Source organism: Homo sapiens, chromosome 16 (assembly GCF_000001405.40).
Source record: "Homo sapiens chromosome 16, GRCh38.p14 Primary Assembly".
In the NCBI taxonomy this organism is placed as follows: domain Eukaryota; kingdom Metazoa; phylum Chordata; class Mammalia; order Primates; family Hominidae; genus Homo; species Homo sapiens.
In genome coordinates, this window is record NC_000016.10 from 58,758,970 (window position 1) to 58,783,356 (window position 24,387).

At 41.3% G+C, this 24,387-nt stretch overlaps 1 long non-coding RNA gene and 2 pseudogenes across 2 annotated transcripts in view; all 3 read left to right on the forward strand.

Moving 5' to 3' along the window:
* LOC107984867 (uncharacterized) overlaps window positions 1-24,387 on the forward strand; it is a 114,037-nt gene that overhangs the window by 9,300 nt on the left and 80,350 nt on the right. The gene's annotated exons all lie outside the window — the stretch shown is intronic.
* RN7SL143P (RNA, 7SL, cytoplasmic 143, pseudogene) lies at window positions 11,562-11,851 on the forward strand (annotated as a pseudogene).
* GEMIN8P2 (gem nuclear organelle associated protein 8 pseudogene 2) lies at window positions 17,425-18,876 on the forward strand (annotated as a pseudogene).

Here is a 24,387-nt window from a genome sequence, read left to right on the forward strand (position 1 = left end):
TGTCCATGTATACTTATTGTTTAACTCCCACTTACAAGTGAGAACATGATATTTGACTTTCCGTTTCTGAATTATTTGACTTACGATAATGGCCTCCAGATCCATCCATGTTGCTGCAAGACATAAATTCATTCTTTTTCATGGATGAGTAATTTTCTCTGATGTATATATCATATTTTCTTTGTCCAGTCATCTGCTGATGGACACTTAGGTTGATTCCATCCCTTTACTATTGTGAATAATGCTGCGATAAACATCTGAGTGCAGGTGTCTTTTTTATATAATGATTTGTTTTTCTTTGGGTAGATACCTAGTAGTGGGATTGCTGGATCAAATGGTAGTTCTATTTTTAGCTCTTTAAGAAATCTCCATATGGCTTTCCATAGAAATCGTACAAATTCACATTCCCACTAACAGTGTATAAGTATTCCCTTATATACCTATACACTTAAAAGTGTTCCCTTTTCTCCACATCCTCACCAACATCTGTTGGTTTTGTTTTTTTGACTTTTTAATAATGGCCATTCAATTGGTGTAAGATTGCATCTCATTGTAGTTCTAATTTGTATTTCTCTGATGATTAGTGATGTTGAGAAATTTTTCATATGTTTGTTGGCCGCTTGTATGTCTTTTGAAAAATGTCCGTTCATGTGCTTTGTCCACTTTTTGATGAGGTTATTTGTTTTTTTTTTTCTTGTTGAGTTCCTTGTACATTCTAGATATTAATCCTTTGTTGGATGCCTAATTTGCAAATATTTTCTCCCATTCTTTGGGTTGTTTGTTTACTCTATTGATTATTTCTCTTGCTGTGCAGAAGACTTTTGGTTTAATTAAGTCCCATTTGTCTATTTTTGTTTTTCTTGTATTTTCTTTTGAGGTCTTAGTCATAAATTCTTTGCCTAGGCCAATGTCCGGAAGATATTTTCCTAGGGTTTCTTCTAGTTTTTTTTTTCTTTTAAATAGTTTCAGGTCTTACATTATACTAGTCCGTTTTCATACTGCTGTAAAGAAATACCCGAGGCTGCTGGATAATTTATAAAGGAAAGAGGTTTAATTGACTCACAGTTCTACATGGCTGGGGAGGCCTCAGGAAACTTACAATCATGATGGAAGGCGAAGGGGAAGCAAGAACCTTCTTCACATGGCGACAGGAGAGGGAAGTGCAAGCAGGGGAAATGCCAGACACTTATAAAACCATTAGATCTTGTGAGAACTCAGTATCAGGAGAACAGCATGGGGGAAACTGCCCCATGATCAAATTACTTCCCTCCCTTGGACATGTGGGGATTACAATTTGAGATGAGATTTGGGTGGGGACCCAGAGCCAAACCATTTAAGTCTTTAACCCATCTTGAGTTAATTTTTGTATATGGTGAGAGACAGGGGTCCAGTTTCATTCTTTTGCATATGGCAATTCAATTTTCCCAGAACCATTTATTGAATAGGGTGCCCTTTCCCCAGTGTAGTGTATATTTTTGTGAGGTTGGTCAAATATCAGTTGTTCGTAGGTATGTGGATTTACTTCTGGGTTCTCTCTTTTGTTCCATTGACCTATGTGTCTTTTTTTTTTTTTTTTTTTTTTTTTTTTGAGAAGGGCCGCCTCTGTTGCCCAGGCTGAGGTGCAGTGGCATGATCTTGGCTCACTACAGCCTCGACTTCCCAGGCTCAAGTGCAATCTTCTCACCTCAGCCTCTGAGTAGCTGGGACCACAGGCATGTGCCAGCATACCCGGCTAATTTTTGTACTTTTTTGTAGAGATGGAGTCTTGCTGTGTTGCCCAGGCTGGTCTCAAATTCCTGATTCAGACAATCTTCCCACCTTGGCCTCCTAAAGTGTTGGCATTACAGGTGCGAGCCACTGCACCCAGCCTATGTGTCTATTTTTCTACCAGTAGTGTGCTGTTTTGGTCACTATAGGCTTGTAGTATAATTTAGAGTCATGTAATGTGATGTCTCCAGATTTGCTCTTTGTTCTTAGAATTGCTTTAGCTATTTGGGCTCTTTTTTGATTTCATATGAATTTTACGATTATTTTTACTAATTCTATGAAAAATGATGTTAGTATTTTGATGGGAATTGCACTGAATTTGTAGATTGCTTTTGGCAGTATGGTCATTTTCACAATATTGATTCTACCCATCCATGAGCATGGGATGCGTTTCCATTGTTTGTGTCGCCTATAATTTCTTTCAGCAGTGTTTTGTCGTTTTCCTTGTAGAGGTCTTTTACCTCCTTGGTTAGGTATATTCCTAAGTATTTTATTTTATTTTTGCAGTTATTGTAAAAGGCGTTGAGTTCTTGATTTGATTCTTATCTTGGTCGCTATTGGTGTGTAGCAGAGCTACTGATTTGTGTACATCTCTCTCTCTCTTTCTTTCTTTCTTTTTGGTGACAGGATCTCGCTCTGTCGCCCGAGCTGGACTGGGGTGGCATGATCATGGCTTACTGTAGCCTCAGCCTCCTGGGTTCAAGCAATCCTCCCACTTCAGCTTCCTGAGTAGTTGGGTCTACAGGTGCACACCACCACACCTGGCTAATTTTTCTGTTTTTTTTTTTAAGACATGGGGTCTCATATGTTGCCTAGGTTGATCTCTAACTCCTGGCCTCATGTATGCCTTCTTTTGAAAAGTGTTCATGTCCTTTGCCCACTTTTTAATGGGGTGGTTTGTGTTTTGCTTATTGATTTAAATTCCTTATAGATTCTGGATATTAGACATTTGTTGGATGCATAGTTTGCAAGTATTTTCTCCTGTTTTGTAGGTTGTCTGTTTATTCTGTTGATAGTTTCTTTTGCTTTGCAGAAGATCTTTAGTGTAATTAGGTCCCATTTGTCAATTTTTTGTTTTTGTTGCAATTGCTTTTGGTATCTTCGTCATGAAATCTTTGCCAGGGCCTATGTCTAGAATAGTATATCCTAGTTTTCTTCCAGAGTTTTTATAGTTGTAGGTTTTTAAAAAAGAATTTTTTTTAGTGATGGGGGTCTCACTGTGTTGCCCAGGCTGACCTTGAACTTCTGGCCTCAAGCCATTCTCTCGCCTCTGCTTCTCTGAGTGCTGGGATTATGGACATGAGCCACTGCACCTAACTCACACTGTTTGTTAATAAAGCCATCCTTTCTGCATTCCTGATATTTCTTTGTAAAAAATCAGCGTTAATTATATGTGAATTTTTTTCTGGATCCTTTATTCTATTTGTCTATTTTTATGCCTCTGCCATGCTGTTTTTATTATTGTATCTTTTAAATAATTATTGACTGGACACAGTGGCTCATGCCTGTAATCCCAGTTCTTTGGGATGCCAAGATGGGAAGATCGCTGGAGCCCAGGAGTTCAAGGCTGCAGTAGGCTGTGATTGCCCTACTGTACTCCAGCCTGGATGACAGAGCAAGACTCTATCTGAAAGAAAGAAAAAAAAAAAAAGGAAAATCATAAAAAATTCTTGAAATTAGGTAGGTTAGTTCTCCAACTTCATTCTTCTTTTTCTGAATTGTTTTGGTTATTTTAGGTCCTTAGCATTTGCATATGAATTCTAGAATCACCTTGTCAATTTCTGCAGAAAGCCTGCTGGGGTTTTGATTGGGATTATTTTGAATCTATAATTTGCAGAAGAATTGACATCTTACCAATATTGAGTCTTTTGACCCATGAACAAGGTATACTTTGTCATTTATTTAATTCTTTAAAAATAAAACGTTTAGAGAAATTTTAAGTGTATGAGTCTTTTCCCATTTAAAAAAAAGATTTATCTCTACGTATTTAACATTTTAGAATGCTATTGTAAGTGGTATTATAAAAATTTCTATTTCCCAGCCGGGCATGGTGGCTCACACCTGTAATCCCAGCACTTTGGAGGCCGAGGCAGGTGGATCACTTGAGGTCAGGAGTTCAAGACCAGTCTGGCCAACGTGGTGAAACTCTGTCTTCACTAAAAATACAAAAATTAGCCTGGCATGATGGCAGACACCTGTAATCCCAGCACTTTGGAGGCCGAGGCAGGTGGATCACTTGAGGTCAGGAGTTCAAGACCAGTCTGGCCAACGTGGTGAAACTCTGTCTTCACTAAAAATACAAAAATTAGCCTGGCATGATGGCAGACACCTGTAATCCCAGCTACTTGGGAGGCTGAGGCAGGAGAATCGCTTGAACCTGGGAGGCGGGGGTTGCAGTGAGCCGAGATCACGTCATTGCATTCCAGCCTGGGCGACAGAGCCAGATTCCATCTCAAAAAAAAAAAAGAAAAAAAAAAATATATATATATATTTCCAATTGTAGCTAATGTAGAACTATATTAGATTTTTGTATATCGATATTGCATCCTACAACCTTTCTATATTACTTATTAGTTCTACTAGCTTTTTGGATGATTTCATGTTTTTCTATATAGGTTTTTGTGCTATCTGTGAGAAGACCATGTACTTCTTTTCCAATCTGGATGGCTTTTTTCTTTTTCTTGCCTGACTGCACTGTCTAGAACTTCCAGTATGATGTTAAATAGAAGTGGACATCCTTGACTTGTTCTTGATCTTAGGGGAAAAGCATTTAAGTCTTTCCCTATTAAGTATGTTAGCTGTGTGTGTGTGTGTGTGTGTGTGTGTATGTGTGTATGTGTTTGTGTGTGTGAATGGCTTTTACCAGGTTGAGGAAGTTCTTCCCTGTTATTTGTTCACTAAGAGTTTTTATCAGGAATGGATGTTGGATTTTGGCAAGTGCTTTCTCTTCATCTGTTAAGATAATAATGTTTTTTCCTTTAGTTAGTTAATATAGTAAATTACATTGATTGAATTTTGAATGTTAAACTAACCCTACATTCTTTGAATAAATCTCACTTGGCCCTGGTATACTATTCTTTATATATATATACATAATTTAGCATTTGACATGCTAAAATTTTGTTTAGAATTTTTATGTCTAAGTTCAAGAGGATTATTGATCTATGTATTTCCTTGTAATGCTTTCTTTCTGGATTTTAGTGTTAGAGTACTATTAGCCTCATAGAATAAGTTGGAAAGTATCCCCTTCTCTTTAATTTTTGGAGGAGTTTGTATTGAATTAGCATTATTTCTTCTTTAAATATTTGGTGGAATATACCCGTGAAGCTATTTGGACTTGGAGTTTTCTTTGTGGAGATGTTTTAAATTATAACTTCACTTGCTTTTATAGATAGATCTTTTCAGTTTATTTTTTCTTTAATGAGGTTTGGTAATTTGTGTCCCATAAGGATTTTTTGTTTTCGTTTTATCTAAGTTTTTGAATTTGTTGCCATAAAGTTATTTACTATATTTGCTTCTTATCTTTAATATCTGAAGAAATTTAAATGATGTAACTCATTTATTTCTGATATTAGTGATTTGTGTGTCTCTGTTAGTCATTCTGGCTAGAGATTTGTTAATTTTATTAATCTTCTCAAACGACCAGCTTTTGGTTTCATTGTTTTTCTCTATTGCTTTTCCATTTCATTGATTTCCACTTTGATCTTTATTATTCTTTTTCTTCTGCTTAATTTAGGTTTAGTTTTTCTTCTTTTTTATTTTTTAATTATACTTTAAGTTCTAGGGTACATGTGCACAACGTGCAGGTTTGTTACATATGTATACATGTGCCATGTTGGTGTGCTGCACCCATTAACTCGTCATTTACATTAGGTATATCTCCTAATGTTATCCCTCCCCACTCCCCCCACCCCACAACAGGCCCCAGTGTGTGATGTTCCCCTTCCCGTGTCCGAGTGTTCTCATTGTTCAATTCCCACCTATGAGTGAGAACATGCAGTGTTTGGTTTTTTGTCCTTGTGATGGTTTTCTGAGAATGATGGTTTCCAGCTTCATCCATGTCCCTACAAAGGACATGAACTCATCCTTTTTTATGGCTGCATAGTATTCCATGGTGTATATGTGCCACATTTTCTTAATCCAGTCTATCATTGATGGACATTGGTAGTTTTTCTTCTTATCCTAGTTTCTAAGGTGGAAGCTGAAGTTATTGATTTGAGACCTTTCTTCTTTTCTAATATAGGCACTAATTTCTGTTAGCATTGCTTTATGGCACTTGATAAATTCTGATACTTTGTGTTGTCATTTTCATGCTGCTTGGAAAACTTTCTAATTTCCCTTTTGATTTCATCTTTGACCTGTGGGTTATTTAGATGAGTACTATTTAGTTTCCAAATATTTTGGGATTTTTCCAGAGCTCTTTCAGTTATTGATTTCTAATTTAATTAATTTGTGGGCAGAGAATATACTTTGTATGCCTTGAATTCTTTTGAAATAATTGAGACTCGATTTATGTCCCAGAGTAGGATTTTTTTTTTTGTAACTGTTTTTTGTGCATTTGAGAAGAATGTTTATCCTGCTGTTGTTTGGTCGAGTGTTTTATAAATGTCAACTAGGTCAAGTTGGTTCATAGTTGTCAAGTCTACTATCTCCTTGGTGATTTCCTGTCCACTTGTTATGTCATTTTTTTTTTTTTTTTCTGAGACAGGGTCTAACTGTGTCACCCAAGCACTGGAGTGCAGTGGTGTGAACATGGCTCACTGCAGCCTCGACCTCCTGGGCTCAAGTGATCTGCTTGCCTCAGCCTTCTGAGTAGCTGGGACCACAGGCTCATGCCACTATGTACAGCTACTTTCTACATTTTTTATAGAGATGGGGTCTCATTTTGTTGCCCAGGCTGGTTAAGAACTCCTGGGCACAAGTGATCCTCCCATCTCGGCCTTCAAATGTGCTGTGATGACAGGTGTGAGCCACTGTGCCCAGTGTTCTATTAATTTTTGAGAGAGAGAGAGAGATACTGAAATTTCCAAGTATAATTGTAGATTTATCTATTTTTATGGACCACATTTTGAGTTGCAAGAATCTGGGTATTCCCTGCTTCTTACTTCTCTGGGAAGCTTTTTCTAACCTCTCAGCTCACCCTAGAATGAAGTACACTCTACTTTTGCAATCAGAGCATTTAACAGTGTTTAATTACCTGTTCATTATTCTGTCCCCGCACTAGATCATTATGTCTTAGATAACAGTGATGGGGTTTTGTTACATTCATATATGAAGGACTTGAGAAATATATATATATTTTAATCGAGACGGAGTCTCGCTCTGTCACTAAGGCTGGAGTGCAGTGGTGTAGTCTTGGCTCATTGCAGCCTCTGCCTCCTGGGTTCAAGCAATTCTCCTGCCTCAGCCTCCCGAGTAGTTGGGATTACAGGCATACGCCACCATGCCAGGCTAATTTTTGTACTTTTAGTAGAAACAGGGTTTCATCATGTTGGTGAGGCTGGTCTTGAAATCCTGTAGTCAAGTGATCCGCCCACCTTGGCCTCCCAAAATGCTGGGATTACAGGTGTAAGCCATCATGCCCGGCCAACTTGAGAAATATTTGATGATATAAGAAAGATATTTAGGACTCAGTAAATGAACATATGGCATAACTAAAATCAGAAATCAGAATTCAGTGGAGTTAGGGAATTGCTGAAAGGAGTGGCAATGAGAATATAAAGATCTTAGAACTGAACAAAAATTATTGGGGAGGGCATGACTTTTCACATGATGCAAAACGGAGAGTGAAAGCTGAAGAGAACATCTGTTATTGTTTTTGTTTCTTTTTTCTTTCTTTCTTTTTTTTAAACATAGTCTTGCTCTGTCACCTAGGCTGGAGTACAGTGGTATGATCTTGGCTCACTGCAACCGCTGCCTCCTAGGCTCAAGTGATTCTCCTGCCTCAGCCTCCCAAGTAGCTGGGATTACAGGTGCCCACCACCATGCCTGGCTAATTTTTTTTTTTTTTTTGAGACGGAGTCTGGCTCTGTTGTCCAGGCTGGAGTGCAATGGCGTGATCTCGGCTCACTGCAACCTCCGCTTCCTGGGTTCAAGTGATTCTCCTGCCTCAGCCTCCCGAGTAGCTGGGACTACAGGCACGTGCCACCACGCCCAGCTAATTTTTTTGTACTTTTAGTAGAGACGGGGTTTCACCACATTGGTCAGGCTGGTCTTGAACTCCTGACCTCATGATCCGCCTGCCTCGGCCTCCCAAAGTGCTGGGATTACAGGCGTGAGCCACTGCACCCAGACAATTTTTTGTATTTTTAGTAGAGACGGGGTTTTGCCATGTTGGCCAGGCTGGTTCAAACTCCTGACCTCGGGTGATCCACCCACCTCAGCCTCCCAAAGTGTTGGGATTACAGGCGTGAACCACCATGCCCGGCCTGTTATTGGGTTTGATTAGCATTTACTCAAATTAAGAGGTTCATATTGCTGATCCTTTTTGTTTCCCTTCCTTCCAAAGGATCCAGGTAAAATGTTGACCAACATGCAGGAAGTGGGCATCAGTCAAGAGCTCATGTGAACATCCAGGGATCACAGAGATTACAAGGGTCTATCCTGGGTTTTGTGGCCCAGCTGTAGGGAATGAGGGATTTACTTTGTTTACAGTAACCAGAAGTAGGAAATTAACGGGAAAATTAGGCATTATGGTTGGTGAAGAGAACCACTGGTGTACAGTAATAGTCTGAGGACACATGCCAGATTCTAAATGGAAAAGAGGTGAAAAAAAAAAAAAGAAAAAGCAAGAGGGGGATGGTTCAGGATGAAGCTTGAGAATGAGAGAAAGCTGCCAGAGATGCCTTCATTTTAGTCTTGTGATGTGGGGATGGGGCAACAGGCTTAACGGGACAGGGCTGGGCTCTGCTAGACCAGGTATAATCTTTAGAAGTGGTACATTCAGTGTCATTCTGCAATAGTGACAGAATGAAGCTCTTTCAATGCTTGAAGACCCAACTTACAGAGCCAAGACAGATGGTGAGCAGCAATCACTGAATGAATGTATAGAAAAATGTAAACTTCACAGAGCATTTTATCTCCCATCTGTTTCCCTCTGCAATTTCAACCTGGTACCATAAATCCAAATTCTGTACTTTCCCTCTTCAGGCTACCCATGTTGCCTCTGTCTTCGAAGGTTGCAGGCAGCAGAGCTGTTTTGGAAGTGACCTATTTGCCCAAGATGTTGAGTTTAGAGTTTTTAAAGGGGGTCCCCTTGCTTATGTTGTCAGACTGTATTAATGTATTCCTACACTGGGATTTGATTTTGCATATACAGTATCTTCATAAAGAGACCAAAATAGTTCATTCAGTAGCTTTGTGTTCAAATGCTCTGCCTTAGCTACTCACAGACTTACTCCACTGGCGTATTGATATATGACTTTATTCAGATCTCTGTCTAGGAATTGGCAATACAGATATAATTTGATATGGTCTTTGCCCTTAAGGAGTGCATGATCTAATAGAAAAGAAAATGAATGAATATTGCTTAATTATCTATACAATAATTTATGATTTCCCATAAATCTGTGGGTTGTCTCGCCTGCTGGGGCTCAGCTGGGAGGTTCTTCTGCATGTCTTGCTTGGTGGCCTCTTACGCAGATGCATTCAGCTTGCAGTTGGGCTTGACTGGAAGATCCTACTTGGGTTCATTCATATATCTGGTGCCTGAATACTTTTCCCTGTGGTCTTTCTCTTTCTTTGTAGTGTCTCATCATTCAGTAGTCTAGTCCAAGCTTCTTTACAGGAAGGTGACTGGCTTCACCAGGGAGAAAGTGGAGGTTTCTGGGCTTTTTATTTATTTATTTATTTAGAGACAGGGTCTTGCTCTGTCACCCGGGCTAGGGTGCAGTGGTGCAATCTCAGCTCACTGCAGCCTTGAACACCTGGGCTCAAGCAGTCCTCCCACCTCAGTCTCCTGAGTAGCTGGGACTACAGGTGCACACCACTTCACCTGTGTAATTTTTATATTTTTGTAGAGACGGGGTTTCGCTACACTGCCCAGCCTGGTCTCCAACTCCTGTGTGCAAGCGATCTGCATGCCTTGGCCTCCCAAAGTGCTGGGATTACAGGCATGTGCCAGCATGCAGGGCCTCTGCTGGGTTTCTTAAAGGAGAAGACCAGAAATAGCATCCATTCTGCTGCATTTTATTGGTCAAGGAAAGTCACGGTGCCAGTCTCGAGTCAAGAGAAAAGGTAATGAACTTAATGGGTGAAGTGGCACACACTTATAGGCAAGGAGGGGATTGACAGCAACCCTTTTTGGAAAGTATCTCCCACAGATACAAATAAATAAACCATAACTAAAATTTAGTGAGCACTTCTGTGTCAGACAGCAGGCCAAGTACCTGACATGTATTATCTCATGAAATCCTCATACATGAAGTTCCCATATCCAGTGAAGTAGGAATCATTCTTATTCCCATCTTATAAGCAAGTGGAAGATGGCAGAGATTAAATAAATAACCCCAGGTCAAATACCTGATCAATGATGATGCCAGGATTCAAGTCCCTTGGAGTTGGATTTGTTGTACTCTGAGAGGGAGCTGAGTGCACTGGTTAAGAACTCAGTCCTGTAGGTCGTCATACTGTAGTAAATGCTATGAGAGAGGGTTCAGAGAATAAAGATCTCTTCTATTTGGGGGTTCAGAAAAGTCTTCAGGAAAGGTGCCATTTGAGTTGCATGTTGATGTTTAGGAACAATTTAGACCTGAACAAATTTGGGAATTAAGGATTTCTCGTAGGCAGAAAACATCATAATATATATGTGGGAAGAGGAAGCAGAGGCATGCACTGAGACTAGCAATCAGTTCAGCTTGGGTGGCCTCTAGAATTCAAGGAAGGAGACAGCAAGAGCTGTTGGAGATGGGAAGTTTGGGGTCAGATTATGAAAATAGTTGAATACCAGGCTGAGATATTTGGGCCTTTATTTAGTGGAAACTAGGGAGACATTTAGTGTTTTGGAACAAGAGCTTTATTTTTAAAGGTTAAAATCCCTGGCCGGGTGCAGTGGCTCACGCATGTAATCCCAGCATTTTGGGAGGTTGAGGTAGGCAGGTCAGGAGTTCGAGACCAGCTTGGCCACTATAGTGAAACCCCATCTCTACTAAAAATACAAAAATTAGCCGGGCATGGTGGCATGCACCTGTAGTCCCAGCTACTCAGGAGGCTGAGGCAGGAGAATCGCTTGAAACCAGAAGGCAGAGGTTGCAGTGAGCTGAGCTCGTGCTGCTGCACTCCAGCCTGGGCAACAGAGCGAGACTCCATCTCAAAAAAAAAAAAAAAAAATCACAGGGTAGACCTGAAACACTGAAATGGAGATACTGGAGGCAGGATGAACAAAGCGAAATGCTTTTTCAATGTCAGTTGAGAGGGAAACTTTATACTGACCATCCATTGGAGTGGTGAAGAGATACGGAATAGTAGAGATATTGAAGAGTTTGGTAGTTGAGGAAGGAGTCAAAAATAGATCTAGAATATCCAGCCTGAGTAACCAAAAGAATAGAGATGGGGCAGACTTGGAGAACATATAATTATTTAAATTTGAGGGCTACAGAATTGACTTCAAACAGCGCTGTTGACCTTGCGGGGGGCCAAGGTGGACTTCTGGGAGTTGGTCCAAAGGTGAGAGCCATTTATAATGAAGAAACATGACACTTTTCCTTTTAATTAATTTTGCAAGATATTGCAGACCAGTGACCTGGTTTTCTCCTTTTCTCTTCATTACTCTCAATTATTTCCAAAATTAGTCAGATGCAGTGGCCCACACTTGTAGTCTTAGCTACTCAGGAGATAGAGGTGAGAGGATTACTTGAGCCCAAAAGTTCTGGGCTGTAGTGCGCTATGCCCATGGGTGTCCATGCTAAGTTCAGTGTCAGTATGATGACTCTTGGGAGCTGGAGACTGCCAGGCTGCCTAAGGAGGGGTGAACTGGCCCAGGTCAGTAATAGAGCAGGTCAAAACTCCCGTGCTGCTCAGCAGTGAGATCATGCCTGTGAATAGCCACTGCACTCCAGCCTGGGCAACATAATGAGACCCCATCTCTTAAAACAAACAAGCAAACAAACCTCAAAGTAACCCAAACCCAGTGATGTTTCTGGCCTGCTCCATTGGCTTTTACTATCCTCCACCCACATCCCTCTGCCTGCTACCCTCACATCAACATCATAAGAGGTACTGCCTTGTATCAGGGCAATTGGTGCTCAATGGGGCACTATGACTTGATCATCTGCTTTACATGTAAAGAAAGTGAGATAGAGAAAAGTTAAATGACCAGCACAACGTAAAACCAGGATATGTGTGTTGACCTGAGTCCGTGCAGGAGGGAGGGCATTTATGACCTTTATTCACAGGGTATGGGATGGTGGAAGGCCAAGTCATGGTCGGATGAAACAAATAGGTAGGGGAGGGATGAGTATTGCTTTGTGACCTGGCAGCATCAGCACTAATCCTGGGATAAGTAGAGCTGTGAACCGCTGACTCAGTTTCCTTTGCAGAGGCTCAAAAATGCAAGGTATTTACTTGATAAGAGCCCTAATAGGTTCAGGACAGAAGATTCTGTAATGGTGCTGTGATTAAGGACTTTCATTCTGATTAGAATTACACTCTAGCAAATGAGTGTGAACTGTCGGAACTTAAGTAGCTGCTCAACAGAATGAATGCAGTCATTTCTGAAGTGGCTTGTTAACTTATTATTTCCTACCATTCTGCCTCATTACCGACACTCACCCTCATCGTTCATCAAGATTGGTAGCCCCTTGAGGAGGAGAAGAGGAGTGGGAGATGGTATAAGTTGTCTGTACCAGGTCCCATGCTGAAGGGAAAGGGCCCACATAGGAGCAGGTTTCCAAGAGCTTCTACAATTGTTAAGGACCTCCTAGGTGAAGCTATTGTTACCTGCGTGCATATGCTAAAACAATACTACTGTTAATATTTGTAATAGTAACAGTGACAATAACAACTGTCACTTATTTCACAGTTTCAACTGATCTTACAGTGGGCTGGGTGGGATGCATATTATTTTGAATCCCCTTAACAGCTCCCTTTACAGATGGGAAAATAGATTTCTCAGTTCCACAGCTTTAAATCCTGTTTCAGACACCAAAGTTTGTGCTTTGTCTTCTGTGAAGGGAATTGAAATTGCTACTTTCTTTTCTAAGACAGGGTCTCACTCTGTAACACATGCTGGGGTACAGTGGCTTGATCAGGGCTCACTGCAGCCTTGACCTCCTGGGGCTCAAGCAGTTCTCCCACCTCAGCCTCCAAAGTAACTGGGACTACAGGTGTGTACCATCATGCCTGGCTAATTAAAAAAATTTTTTTTTTGTAGAGATGTAGTTTCAACATGTTGCCCAGGCTGGTCTCAAGCTTGTGGGCTCAAGTGATCTGCCTGCCTTGGCCTCCCAAAATGCTGGGGAAATTGCTATTTTCTATCTTACATGGTGGGGAATAGGAATGTTAGGATAGGCCTTTGAATCTAGTTTTCAGTTGTTTCCATACCATCTTTTGGTTATTTTAGTGAGTATGGGGAAAATATATATATACTTCCCAACATTGTAATTCTTCATTCTTCCCCATCATCATGGTAGTCAGGTTAGGACGCTCGTGGGAATAATTCAGACTTGAACATCAGGAAAAGCTGGGCCAAACACAAAATTGGCCACAAATACAGAGCTTGTGGATTTATTTTATTTATTTATTTTTAAGAATGCTTGTTTGTTTACTTTCAATAGCTTTAAGGGTACAAGTGGTTTTTGGTTACATTGATATATAGTGGTGAAGCCTGGGCTTTTAGTGTGCCCGTCACCTGAGTAGTGCACATTGTACCCAACAGGTAATTTTCATCCTTCTCTCCCCTGCCACCATCCCTGCTTCTGAATCTCCAATGTCCATTATTCCACTCTTTATGGCCCTGTGTACCCATAGTGTAGCTCTTGCTTATAAGTGAGAATATGCAGTATTTGGTTTATGTGGATTTATTTTGGGTCATCTTCCTCTCTGCAGCTAGGCTGGCCTCTGCTAATAGGAGGTGAACATTTTGAAAGCTACATGTGAATCAATACTTACCAGGCTTAGCTTAAAGTAATAGGTAATACTGATTAGAAAGGAAACCTATTGCATGTGTAGGAAAATACAGCTGGCTAGGTAGGCAGCTTAGTGTAATGAAAGCAACACAGACTCTGTAATCCAATAGACACTGGTTTGAATTTTATCTCCAAAACTAACCTTGCAACTTTGAGGAATTCTCTTGATCATTCTGAGGCTCAGTTTCCTTGGCTGTAAAATGCACCTACCTCACAAGCTTGGTTGAGGAAGCTATTGCTACTACTGATAGCAGTCCTTGGGTGCTATAATAGCTGTTTTAAGTACATTCGGTGTGTGTGTTCATGCTTTCGTTGATGCTTGGAGGCTCCCAGACCTTTATTTTGGAAATAGGGTCATCAGTTTTTGCTATTGTATTTTTCTTTACTTTTTTTTTTTCCCATTTTGGTGGTCATTGAAGTTTTTTTGAACACCCCAGCCTGCTCCTGCTCTCCTTAGAGACATGTCGATATGGCATTATGGAATTCTAAGGAGTAAGCAGGATACTCCTGGATGCTGTTGTGGAGTAAAAGGAAAAATCCAAGCAGAAGGCAAGACACAGAGGGGCTGTGCGCAGGACTGTTCATATAGCCCTTCTTTCTGGGACAACCCTCTCTGGAGCCCTAAACATAAAAGTCCAAACTGGTCTTAGGGTACTGAATTTAACACAGGATATTAATTCTTCACTAATTCCTTTAACCCCCCTTTTCCATTATCTATCTCTTTATATTTTTAGCTAGATAATATTCATCTATATTTAATCACACCAATAATGTAACACGTAATTATATAATTCAAGAAAGTGGATATAGTGTTGCAAAAATCTAAGATCTTTGCATTGCATAGAAAAAGGGTTTAAAAAGGTAAAGCAATACTTATAACTAGAATCTGGTAGGTCAGGGATGCATTCGTAATCACAAAGAATGAATTTCTAGCTTGTCTTTGGACCTTATCAAATGTTACCTCACACTATAGATATTTTCTAAGAATTTTATCACTGTTTCTCATAGTACAAAGTCATTGCCAATTCCACAGTACCTAGTTCAGAGCTGGTACATAGAGGTGCTTAGTTTTTGTTGGTGGTGGTGCTTTTGATTCAGGAAGAAAATTAGAGAGACTTGACCAATTTCAGTATATCTGTACAGTATTATATGAGGTGCTGTTTGTATCTGTTCAGTTAAACAAATACTAGAGTGTTTGTTTTGTGCAATACTGGGTATACAAAGAAAAATGAACATAGTTCCTGACCTTGAACTTACCATAGTTTGGGGTGCAAAAATCACACAATCACAAAATGTCATGATCACATACAGGATATTATGAAAAAAAAAGGGGAAAGAGGATGTTAATATTATCTGGGGTTTTGAAGAAGGCTTCTGGGCATGGCACCTTCATTAAGAACCTGAATGAATGAACAAGAGTCATCCAAGGGGAAAAAGGAGAGTCCATTCCAGGCAAAGAAGTCAGTGTAAGCAAAGTGAGAAGATATGAAACAAAAAGCAAGTAGGGCCAGGTGTGGTAGCTCACGCCTGTAATGCCAGCACTTTGGGAGGCTGAGGTGGGCGGATCACCTGAGGTCAGGAGTTCGAGAACAGCCTGACCAACATGGAGAAACCCCATTTCTACTAAAATACAAAATTAGCTGGGTGTGGTGGCATGTGCCTGTAATCGCAGCTACTCAGGAGGCTGAGGCAGGAGAATTGCTTGAACCCGGGAGGTGGAGGTTGAGGTGAGCCAAGATCGCGCCATTGCACTCCAGCGTGGGCAGCAAGAGCAAAACTCCATCTCAACAACAACAAACAAACAAACAAACAAGTGGGAAATTTGGTGTTTTACCAGAGTTTGGGCCCAAATGAGCCTCCCACCTCAGCCTCCTGAGTAGCTGGACAATTCCCAATTCCCACACCTGGTAGCAGGTGCCACCACACCTGGCTAATTTTTGTATTTTTAGTAGAGACGGGGTTTCACCATGTTGCCCAGATTGGTCTCAAACTCCTGAGCTCAAGCGATGCACCCACTTTGGCCTCCCAAAGTGCTGGGATTACAGGCATGAGCCACCGGGCCCAGCCATGGTCTATGATTTCATGAAAAGAAGTGGCTGGAGCACAAGTTCAGACTCAAGTAGAGTGGCTCTGAGTCTGCATCCTAGCACTCCTGCATGCTGCTTCTCTTGGTCTTGAAACCAAGAAGTTGCTTATATTTTTGTCAAAGGAATCTTTTCCTTAGTGAATTCCTGTAATTAAAAAATAACTTTCTTATTTGTTTAATATTCATTATAAAAAATTTAGCCAGCACTGATAAGCAAAAAGAAAAACTCCATTTCCAACATCCTTTAGGAAACTATTTAAAACAGTTTGGGATTTCTTTCTATTGTTCTCTCCCTCCCTCCCTCTCTCTCACTTTACTTTCCCTTAATTGTGTGTGTGTGTGTGGGGGGGGGGGGTGGGTATACAGTGATTCTTTGGGCCATCACTCTAAGTCATTAGATATTTTGTAGTCTTCTTTCTTGCCTTCCTTCCTCCCTTCCCTCCCTCCCTCCCTCTTTTCCTTTCCTTTCTTTTCTTTTCTTTTTTCTTTCTTTTCTTTCTTTTTGAGACAGGGTCTCGCTTTGTTGCCTGGGCTAGAGTACAGTGGCGTAATCATGGCTCACTGCAGCCTCTACCTACTGGGCTCAAGTAAACCTCCCATCTCAGCCTCCCTAGTAGCTGGGACTGCAGGAGCATGCCACCATGCCTGGATAAATTTTGTATTTTTTGTAGAGATGGGGTTTCACCTTGTTGCCCAGAGTGGTCTGGAACTCCTGGCCTCAAACGATCCACCTGCCTTGGCCGCCTCCCAAAGTGTTGGGATTACAGGGGTGAGCCACTACCCCGGCAGGCTTATTTTTAATAATTGCATAACACTCCTTTTTGGGTCAGTTTTAACAATTATTTTTAACTTTTTTTTGTCTTTTAAATTCTTCATTTGTGACAACTTAGTTTTTTGAACATATAAAAATTGGGAAACAGGCTGGGCGCAGTGGCTCATGCCTGTAATCCCAGTACTTTGGGAGGCCGAGGTGGGCAGATCATGAGGTCAGGAGATCAAGACCATCCTGGCTAACACGGTGAAACCCCATCTCTACTAAAAATACAAAAATTAGCCAGGCGTGATGGCATGCACCTGTAGTCCCAGCTACTCGGGAGGCTGAGGCAGGAGAATCACTTGAACCCGGGAGGCAGAGGTTGCAGTGAGCGGAGATGGCACCACTGCATTCTAGCCTGGGCAACAGAGTGAGACTCCGTCTCAAACAAAAAAAAAATTGGGTAACAACACACACTGGGGCCTATCAGGGGGTAGGGTAGGGGGAGGGAGAGTATTAGGAAAAGTAGCTAATGCATGCTGGGCTTAATACCTAGGTGATGGCTGATAGGTGCAGCAAACCACTGTCATACGATTACCTATGTAACAAACCTGCACATCCTGCACATGTACCCTAGAACTAAAAAATTAAAATAAAAAAAGAATTTAAAAAACTGTGTATATTAGCAAGCTTCCAGTCACCCCAGCAACAGCCACCTTCTCCCCACTCCCCCCACCTCTGTCTCTCCAATGAAAACTAGGCCCCTACTCGCCCACTGCCCGGGATCTGCAAGCTGCGCGCCCATGAGTTTCAGTACCTATTTGGACTTTCACAATCAGAGATGGCAGTGGTGAAGGCATCAACGTCGAAAGCTTCCAGGCCTTGGTATTCTCATCTGGCGTATGCAAGATACTGGCAACATTATCATCAAGCAATGGCTTGATGGCAAAGCCATCAGAATGCCTACAGGAAGGCCGTGGAATCCTGTGTCAGTCGCCTGTGGCGCTTCCCTTTTATTTTATTTTTTTTTAAAGACAGAGTCTCGCTGTTGTTGCCCACGCTGGAGTGCAGTGACACAACCTCGGCTCACTGTAACCTCCACCTCCCGGTTTCAAGTGATTCTCCTGCCTCAGCCTCCTGTGTAGCTGGAATTACAGGCGCCCGCCACCACACCCGGCTACTTTTTTGTATTTTTAGTAGAGACGGGGTTTTACCGTGTTGGCCAGGCTGGTCTCGAACTCCTGATGTGATCTGCCTGCCTTGGCCTCCCAAAGTGCTGGGATTACAGGCGTGAGCCACCGCACCCAGCCGGCACTTCCTTTCTGCACTTCTTTTCCAAAGCTCTTACAACAGACAGGCTGGATATCCTCAGTCCTTCTGTGACCATCATGTGGCCTGGCAGGACTCCACCTGCAGTTCTTCACATTTCAGAGGGTCTGGGCAGCATCCACATGACAGCACTGGGATCCAGGCATCCACGAGAGAAGACCAAGCTTTGTTTAAAGAGGAGGGGTAGATGCAGAGGTAGAATGTGACCTGAGCAATATGGAAATCACTGAGGATCTCTGCCAGTACTTTGCAGAAACCGGGAGGCACAGAGAAGAACAAGGGTGGCGGCAGCAGCTGGATGCAGAATGCTTGGACAGCTATGTGAATGCCGACCACGACCTTTGCTACAACACCCACTGGTGGGTGGAGCCCCCGACTGAGCGGCCCAGCAAGCGGTGCCAGGCTGAGATGAAGCGCTTGTATGGGAACAGCACTGCCAAGCTCCAGGCCATGGAGGCTTCGGTGCAGCTGAGCTTTGACAAGCACTGTGACCAAAAGCAGCCCAGTTCTGGCTGGTCATGCCTGTGAAATTCTGAGCTTGGGGCACAGGGCCCCAGCCTCTCTCTCTTCCTTTTGGGTACACTCTCTTCATTCTCCCTCTGTACATTTCTCAGGGAAAGGGGGCTTTGTACTGAGGTACAGGCATGTTCACCACAGTCCCAGTGGGGCCTGTCACAGGGTGGATGTACAATGCCAGCCTCTTAGGGGTTGGCAGGACGTGTTCTCTTGCCAATATGATACATTTTCTCCTGACATAAAATAATTTTGTATATATTACACTGGTTTTTGCTGTTGTCAATCATCATTAACTGCCTAGAAACAAAAAATTGTATATATTTAAGGTACACAACGTGATGTTTTGATAGACAATGTGAGACGATCATCACATTCCAGTAATTAACATATCAATCATTTCTACATAGTCACCATTTCTGTACCCTTTGACCAACATCACTCCATTCCCATCTCTTCCCAGCCCCTGGCAATCACCATCCTACTCTGTGCTTCTATGAGTCTGGCTATTTTAGATTCTGTGTATAAGTGTATAAGTTTGTAGAGGGCAGAACATGGTTTAGACATGCTGAGTTTTTGGGGCTTATGGGTCATTTAAATGGGAATGCCCTCAAGTAGCTGAAGGTATGAATCTGAAGGCCGAAGAAATTTTGTGTAAAGAAATTCTTATTTTGGCCAGGCGCGGTGGCTCACACCTGTAATCCCAGCACTTTGGGAGGCCGAGGCGGGTGGATCACGAGGTCAGGAGATCGAGACCATCCTGGCTAACATGGTGAAACCCCGTCTCTACCAAAAATACAAAAAAGTAGCCAGGCGTGGTGGCAGGTGCCTGTAGTCCCAGCTACTCGGGAGGCTGAGGCAGGAGAATGGCGTGGACCTGGGAGGTGGAGCTTGCAGTGAGCCGAGATTGCACTGCATTCCAGCCTGGGCAACAGAGCCAGACTCTGTCTCAAAAAAAAAAAAAAAAAAAAGTTCTTATTTTACACTTGGTGAACTTAAGACTCAGAAGATAAGTCACTTTCCCAAGGTTCAAAGACTTTATATGTCTGGCTAATGCTGGGTTCTTCATGCATGATATTTACCATTTCATGGGTCAAGAAACTAATAAATTCATCTGTGAGGTAAAACAGTCTTTTTTTTTTATCATACACAATGTTCAGCTCATTTTTCATTCTGGTCACTCTCACCTCACACTTTATTATTTATTCATTTTTTAGAGACAGGATCTTGCTCTGTTGCCCAGGCTGGAGTGCAGTGGCACGATCATAGCTCACTGCATTGACCTCCTGGGCTGTAGTGATCCATCCGCCTCAGCCTCCTGAGTAGCTAGGACTACAGGCACACACTACCATCTTTTAATTTTATTTGATTCTTTTGTCTCTCAGTGTTTCATTTTGAATAGTTTCTATTCCTATCTTTTTAATTCACTGATCTTTTCTTTGCAATGTCTAATCTGCCATTACTCCCATCCAATATATTTTCCATGTGATACATTGTATTTTTTCATCTCTAGAAGTTAGATTTGAGTCTTTTTATATCTTTTATTCTTGTACTTCAAATTTTAAACATGTGAAATGAAGGTATAATAATAATTTGAATGTTTTTGCCTGCAAAATTCAAACATCTGTCTCAATTCTTGGTCAGTTTTGATTGATTGCTTTTTCTCCTCATTATGTTTGTATTTTTTTTTTAAACTTCTTTGTGTTTCTGTTAATTTCTGATTGGATGCCAGATATTGTGAATTTTACTTTATTATATATCTTAGTTCATTTAGGCTTCTGTAACAAAATACCTTAGACTGAGTAATTTACAAGCAACAGAAATTTGTTGCTCACAGTTCTGGAGGCTGGGAAGTCCAAGATTAAGGTGCTAGCAGATTTAGAGTTTGGTGAGGGCTTGCTCTCCACTTCAAAGATAGTGCCTTGTTGTGTTCTCACATGGTGAAAGGGTCAAGGGAGTTCCCTCAAGCCTCTTAGTGACTATTCCTAAGTCACTTCCTAAAGGCCTCACTTCTTTTTTTTTTTTTTTTTTGGGATGGAGTCTCGCCCCATCACCCAGGCTGGAGTGCAGTGGTGCAATCTCAGCTCACTGCAACCTCTGTCTGCTGGGTTCAAGTGATTCTCCTGCCTCAGCCTCCTGAGAAGCTGGGACTACAGGTGTGTGCCACCAGGCCTGGCTAATTTTTTTGTATTTTTAGTAGAGATGGGGTTTCACCATGTTAGCCAGGATGGTCTTGATCTCCTGACCTCATGATCTGCCTGCCTTGGCCTCCCAAAGTGCCGGAATTACAGGCATGAGCCACCACACCGGGCTGGCCTCCCTTCTTTTTATTTATTTATTTATTTTATTTTATTTTTTATTATACTTTAAGTTCTAGGGTACATGTGCACAACGTGCAGGTTTGTTACATATGTATACATGTGCCATGTTGGTGTGCTGCACCCATTAACTGGTCATTTACATTAGGTATATCTCCTAATGCTATCCCTGCCCCCACGCCATGACAGGCCCTGGTGTGTGATGTTCCCCTTCCTGTGTCCAAGTGTTCTCATTGTTCAATTCCCACCTGTGAGTGAGAACATGTGGTGTTTGGTTTTTTGTCCTTGTGATAGTTTGCTGAGAATGATGGTTTCTAGCTTCATCCATGTCCCTATACAGGACATGAACTCATCCTTTTTTATGGCTGCATAGTATTCCATGGTGTATATGTGCCACATTTTCTTTATCCAGTCTATCATTGATGACATTTGGGTTGGTTCCAAGTCTTTGCTATTGTGAATAATGCCGCAATAAACATATGTGTGCGTGTGTCTTTATAGCAGCATGATTTATAATCCTTTGAGTATATACCCATTAATGGGATGGCTGGGTCAAATGGTATTTCTAGTTTTAGATCCTTGAGGAATTGCCACACTGACTTCCACAATGGTTGAACTAGTTTACAGTCCCACCAACAGTGTAAAAGCATTCCTATTTCTCCACATCCTCTCCAGCACCTGTTGTTTCCTGACTTTTTAATGATTGCCATTCTAACTGGTGTGAGATGGTATCTCATTGTGGTTTTGATTTGCATTTCTCTGATGACCAGTGATGATGAGCATTTTTTCATGTGTCTGTTGGCTGCATAAATGTCTTCTTTTGAGAAATGTCTGTTCATATCCTTTGCCCACTTTTTGATAGGGTTGTTTCTTTTTTTCTTGTAAATTTGTTTGAGTTCATTGTAGACTCTGGATATTAGCCCTTTGTCAGATGAGTAGATTGCAAAAATTTTCTCCCATTCTGTAGGTTGTCTGTTCACTCTGATGGTAGTTTCTTTTGCTGTGTAGAAGCTCTTTAGTTTAATTAGATCCCATTTGTCAATTTTGGCTTTTGTTGCCATTGCTTTTGGTGTTTTAGACATGAAGTCCTTGCCCATGCCTGTCTCCTGAATGGTATTGCCTAGGTTTTCTTCTAGGGTTTTTATAGTTTTAGGCCTAACATTTAAGTCTTTAATCCATCTTGAATTAATTTTTGTATAAGGTGTAAGGAAGGGATCCAGTTTCAGCTTTCTACATATGGCTAGCCAGTTTTCCCAGCACCATTTATTAAACAGGGAATCCTTTCCCCATTTCTTGTTTTTGTCAGGTTTGTCAAACATCAGATGGTTGTAGACGTGTGATATTATTTCTGAGGGCTCTGTTCTGTTCCATTGGTCTATATCTCTGTTTTGGTACCAGTACCATGCTGTTTAGGTTACTGTAGCCTTGTAGTATAGTTTGAAGTCAGGTAGCATGATGCCTCCAGCTTTGTTCTTTTGGCCTAGGATTGACTTGGCAATGCAGGCTCTTTTTTGGTTCCATATGAACTTCAAAGTAGTTTTTTCCAATTCTGTGAAGAAAGTCCTGGTAGCTTGAATGGGGATGGCATTGAATCTATAAATTACCTTGGGCAGTATGGCCATTTTCACGATATTGATTCTTCCTATCCACGAGCGTGGAATGTTCTTCCATTTGTTTGTGTCCTCTTTTATTTCATTGAGTAGTGGTTTGCAGTTCTCCTTGAAGAGGTCTTTCATGTCCCTTGTAAGTTGGATTCCTAGGTATTTTATTCTCTTTGAAGCAATTGTGAATGGGATTTCACTCATGATTTGGCTCTCTGTTAGTCTGTTATTGGTGCATAAGAATGCTTGTGATTTTTCACATTGATTTTGTATCCTGAGACTTTGCTGAAGTTGCTTATCAGCTTAAGGAGATTTTGGGCTGAGACCATAGGGTTTTCTAAATGCACAATCATGTCATCTGCAAACAGGGACAATTTGACTTCCTCTTTTCCTAATTGAATACCCTTTATTTCTTTCTCCTGCATGATTGCCCTGGCCAGAACTTCCAACACTATGTTGAATAGGAGTGGTGAGAGAGGGCATCCCTGTCTTGTGCCAGTTTTCAAAGGGAATGCTTCCAGTTTCTGCGCATTCACTGTGATATTGGCTGTGGGTTTGTCATAAGTAGCTCTTATTATTTTGAGATACGTCCCATCAATACCTAATTTATTGAGAGTTTTTAGCATGAAGGGCTGTTGAATTTTGTCAAAGGCCTTTTCTGCATCTATTGAGATAATCGTGTGGTTTTTGTCTTTGGTTCTGTTTATATGATGGATTACGTTTATTGATTTTCGTATGTTGAACCAGCCTTGCATCCCAGGGATGAAGCCCACTTGATCATGGCGGATAACCTTTTTGATGTGCTGCTGGATTTGGTTTGCCGGTATTTTATTGAGGATTTTTGCATTGATGTTCATCAGGGGTATTGGTCCAAAATTCTTTTTTTTTTGTTGTGTCTCTGCCAGGCTTTGGTATCAGGATGACGTTGGCCTCATAAAATGAGTTTGGGAGGATTCCCTCTTTTTCTGTTGATTAGAATAGTTTCAGAAGGAATGGTACCAGCTCCTCCTTGTACCTCTGGTAGAATTCGGCTGTGAATCCATCTGGTCCTGGACATTTTTTGGTTGGTAGGCTATTAATTGTTGCCTCAATTTCAGAGCCTGTTATTGGTCTATTCAGGGATTCAACTTCTTCCTGGTTTAGTCTTGGGAGGGTGTATGTGTCCAGGAATTTATCCATTTCTTCTAGATTTTCTAGTTTATTTTCATAGAGGTGTTTATAGTATTCTCTGATGGTAGTTTGTATGTCTGTGGGATCGTTGGTGATATCCCCTTTATCATTTTTTATTGCATCTTTTTGATTCTTCTCTCTTTTCTTCTTTATTAGTCTTGCCAGCAGTCTATCAATTTTGTTGATCTTTTCAAGTACCAGCTCCTGAATTCATTGATTTTTTGAAGGTTTTTTTGTGTCTCTATCTCCTTCAGTTCTGCTCTGATCTTAGTTATTTCTTGCCTTCTGCTAGCTTTTGAATGTGTTTGCTCTTGCTTCTCTAGTTCTTTTAATTGTGATGTTAGGGTGTCAATTTTAGATCTTTCCTGCTTTCTCTTGTGGGCATTTAGTGCTATAAATTTCCCTCTACACACTGCTTTAAATGTGTCCCAGAGATTCTGGTATGTTGTGTCTTTGTTCTCGTTGGTTTCAAAGAATATCTTTATTTCTGCCTTCATTTCGTTATGTACCCAGTAGTCATTCAGGAGCAGATTGTTCAGTTTCCATGTAGTTGAGCGGTTTTGAGTGAGTTTCTTAATCCTGAGTTCCAGTTTGATTGCACTGTGGTGTGAGAGACAGTTTGTTATAATTTCTGTTCTTTTACGTTTGCTGAGGAGTGCTTTACTTCCAACTGTGTGGTCAATTTTGGAATAAGTGCGATGTGGTGCTGAGAAGAAGGTATATTCTC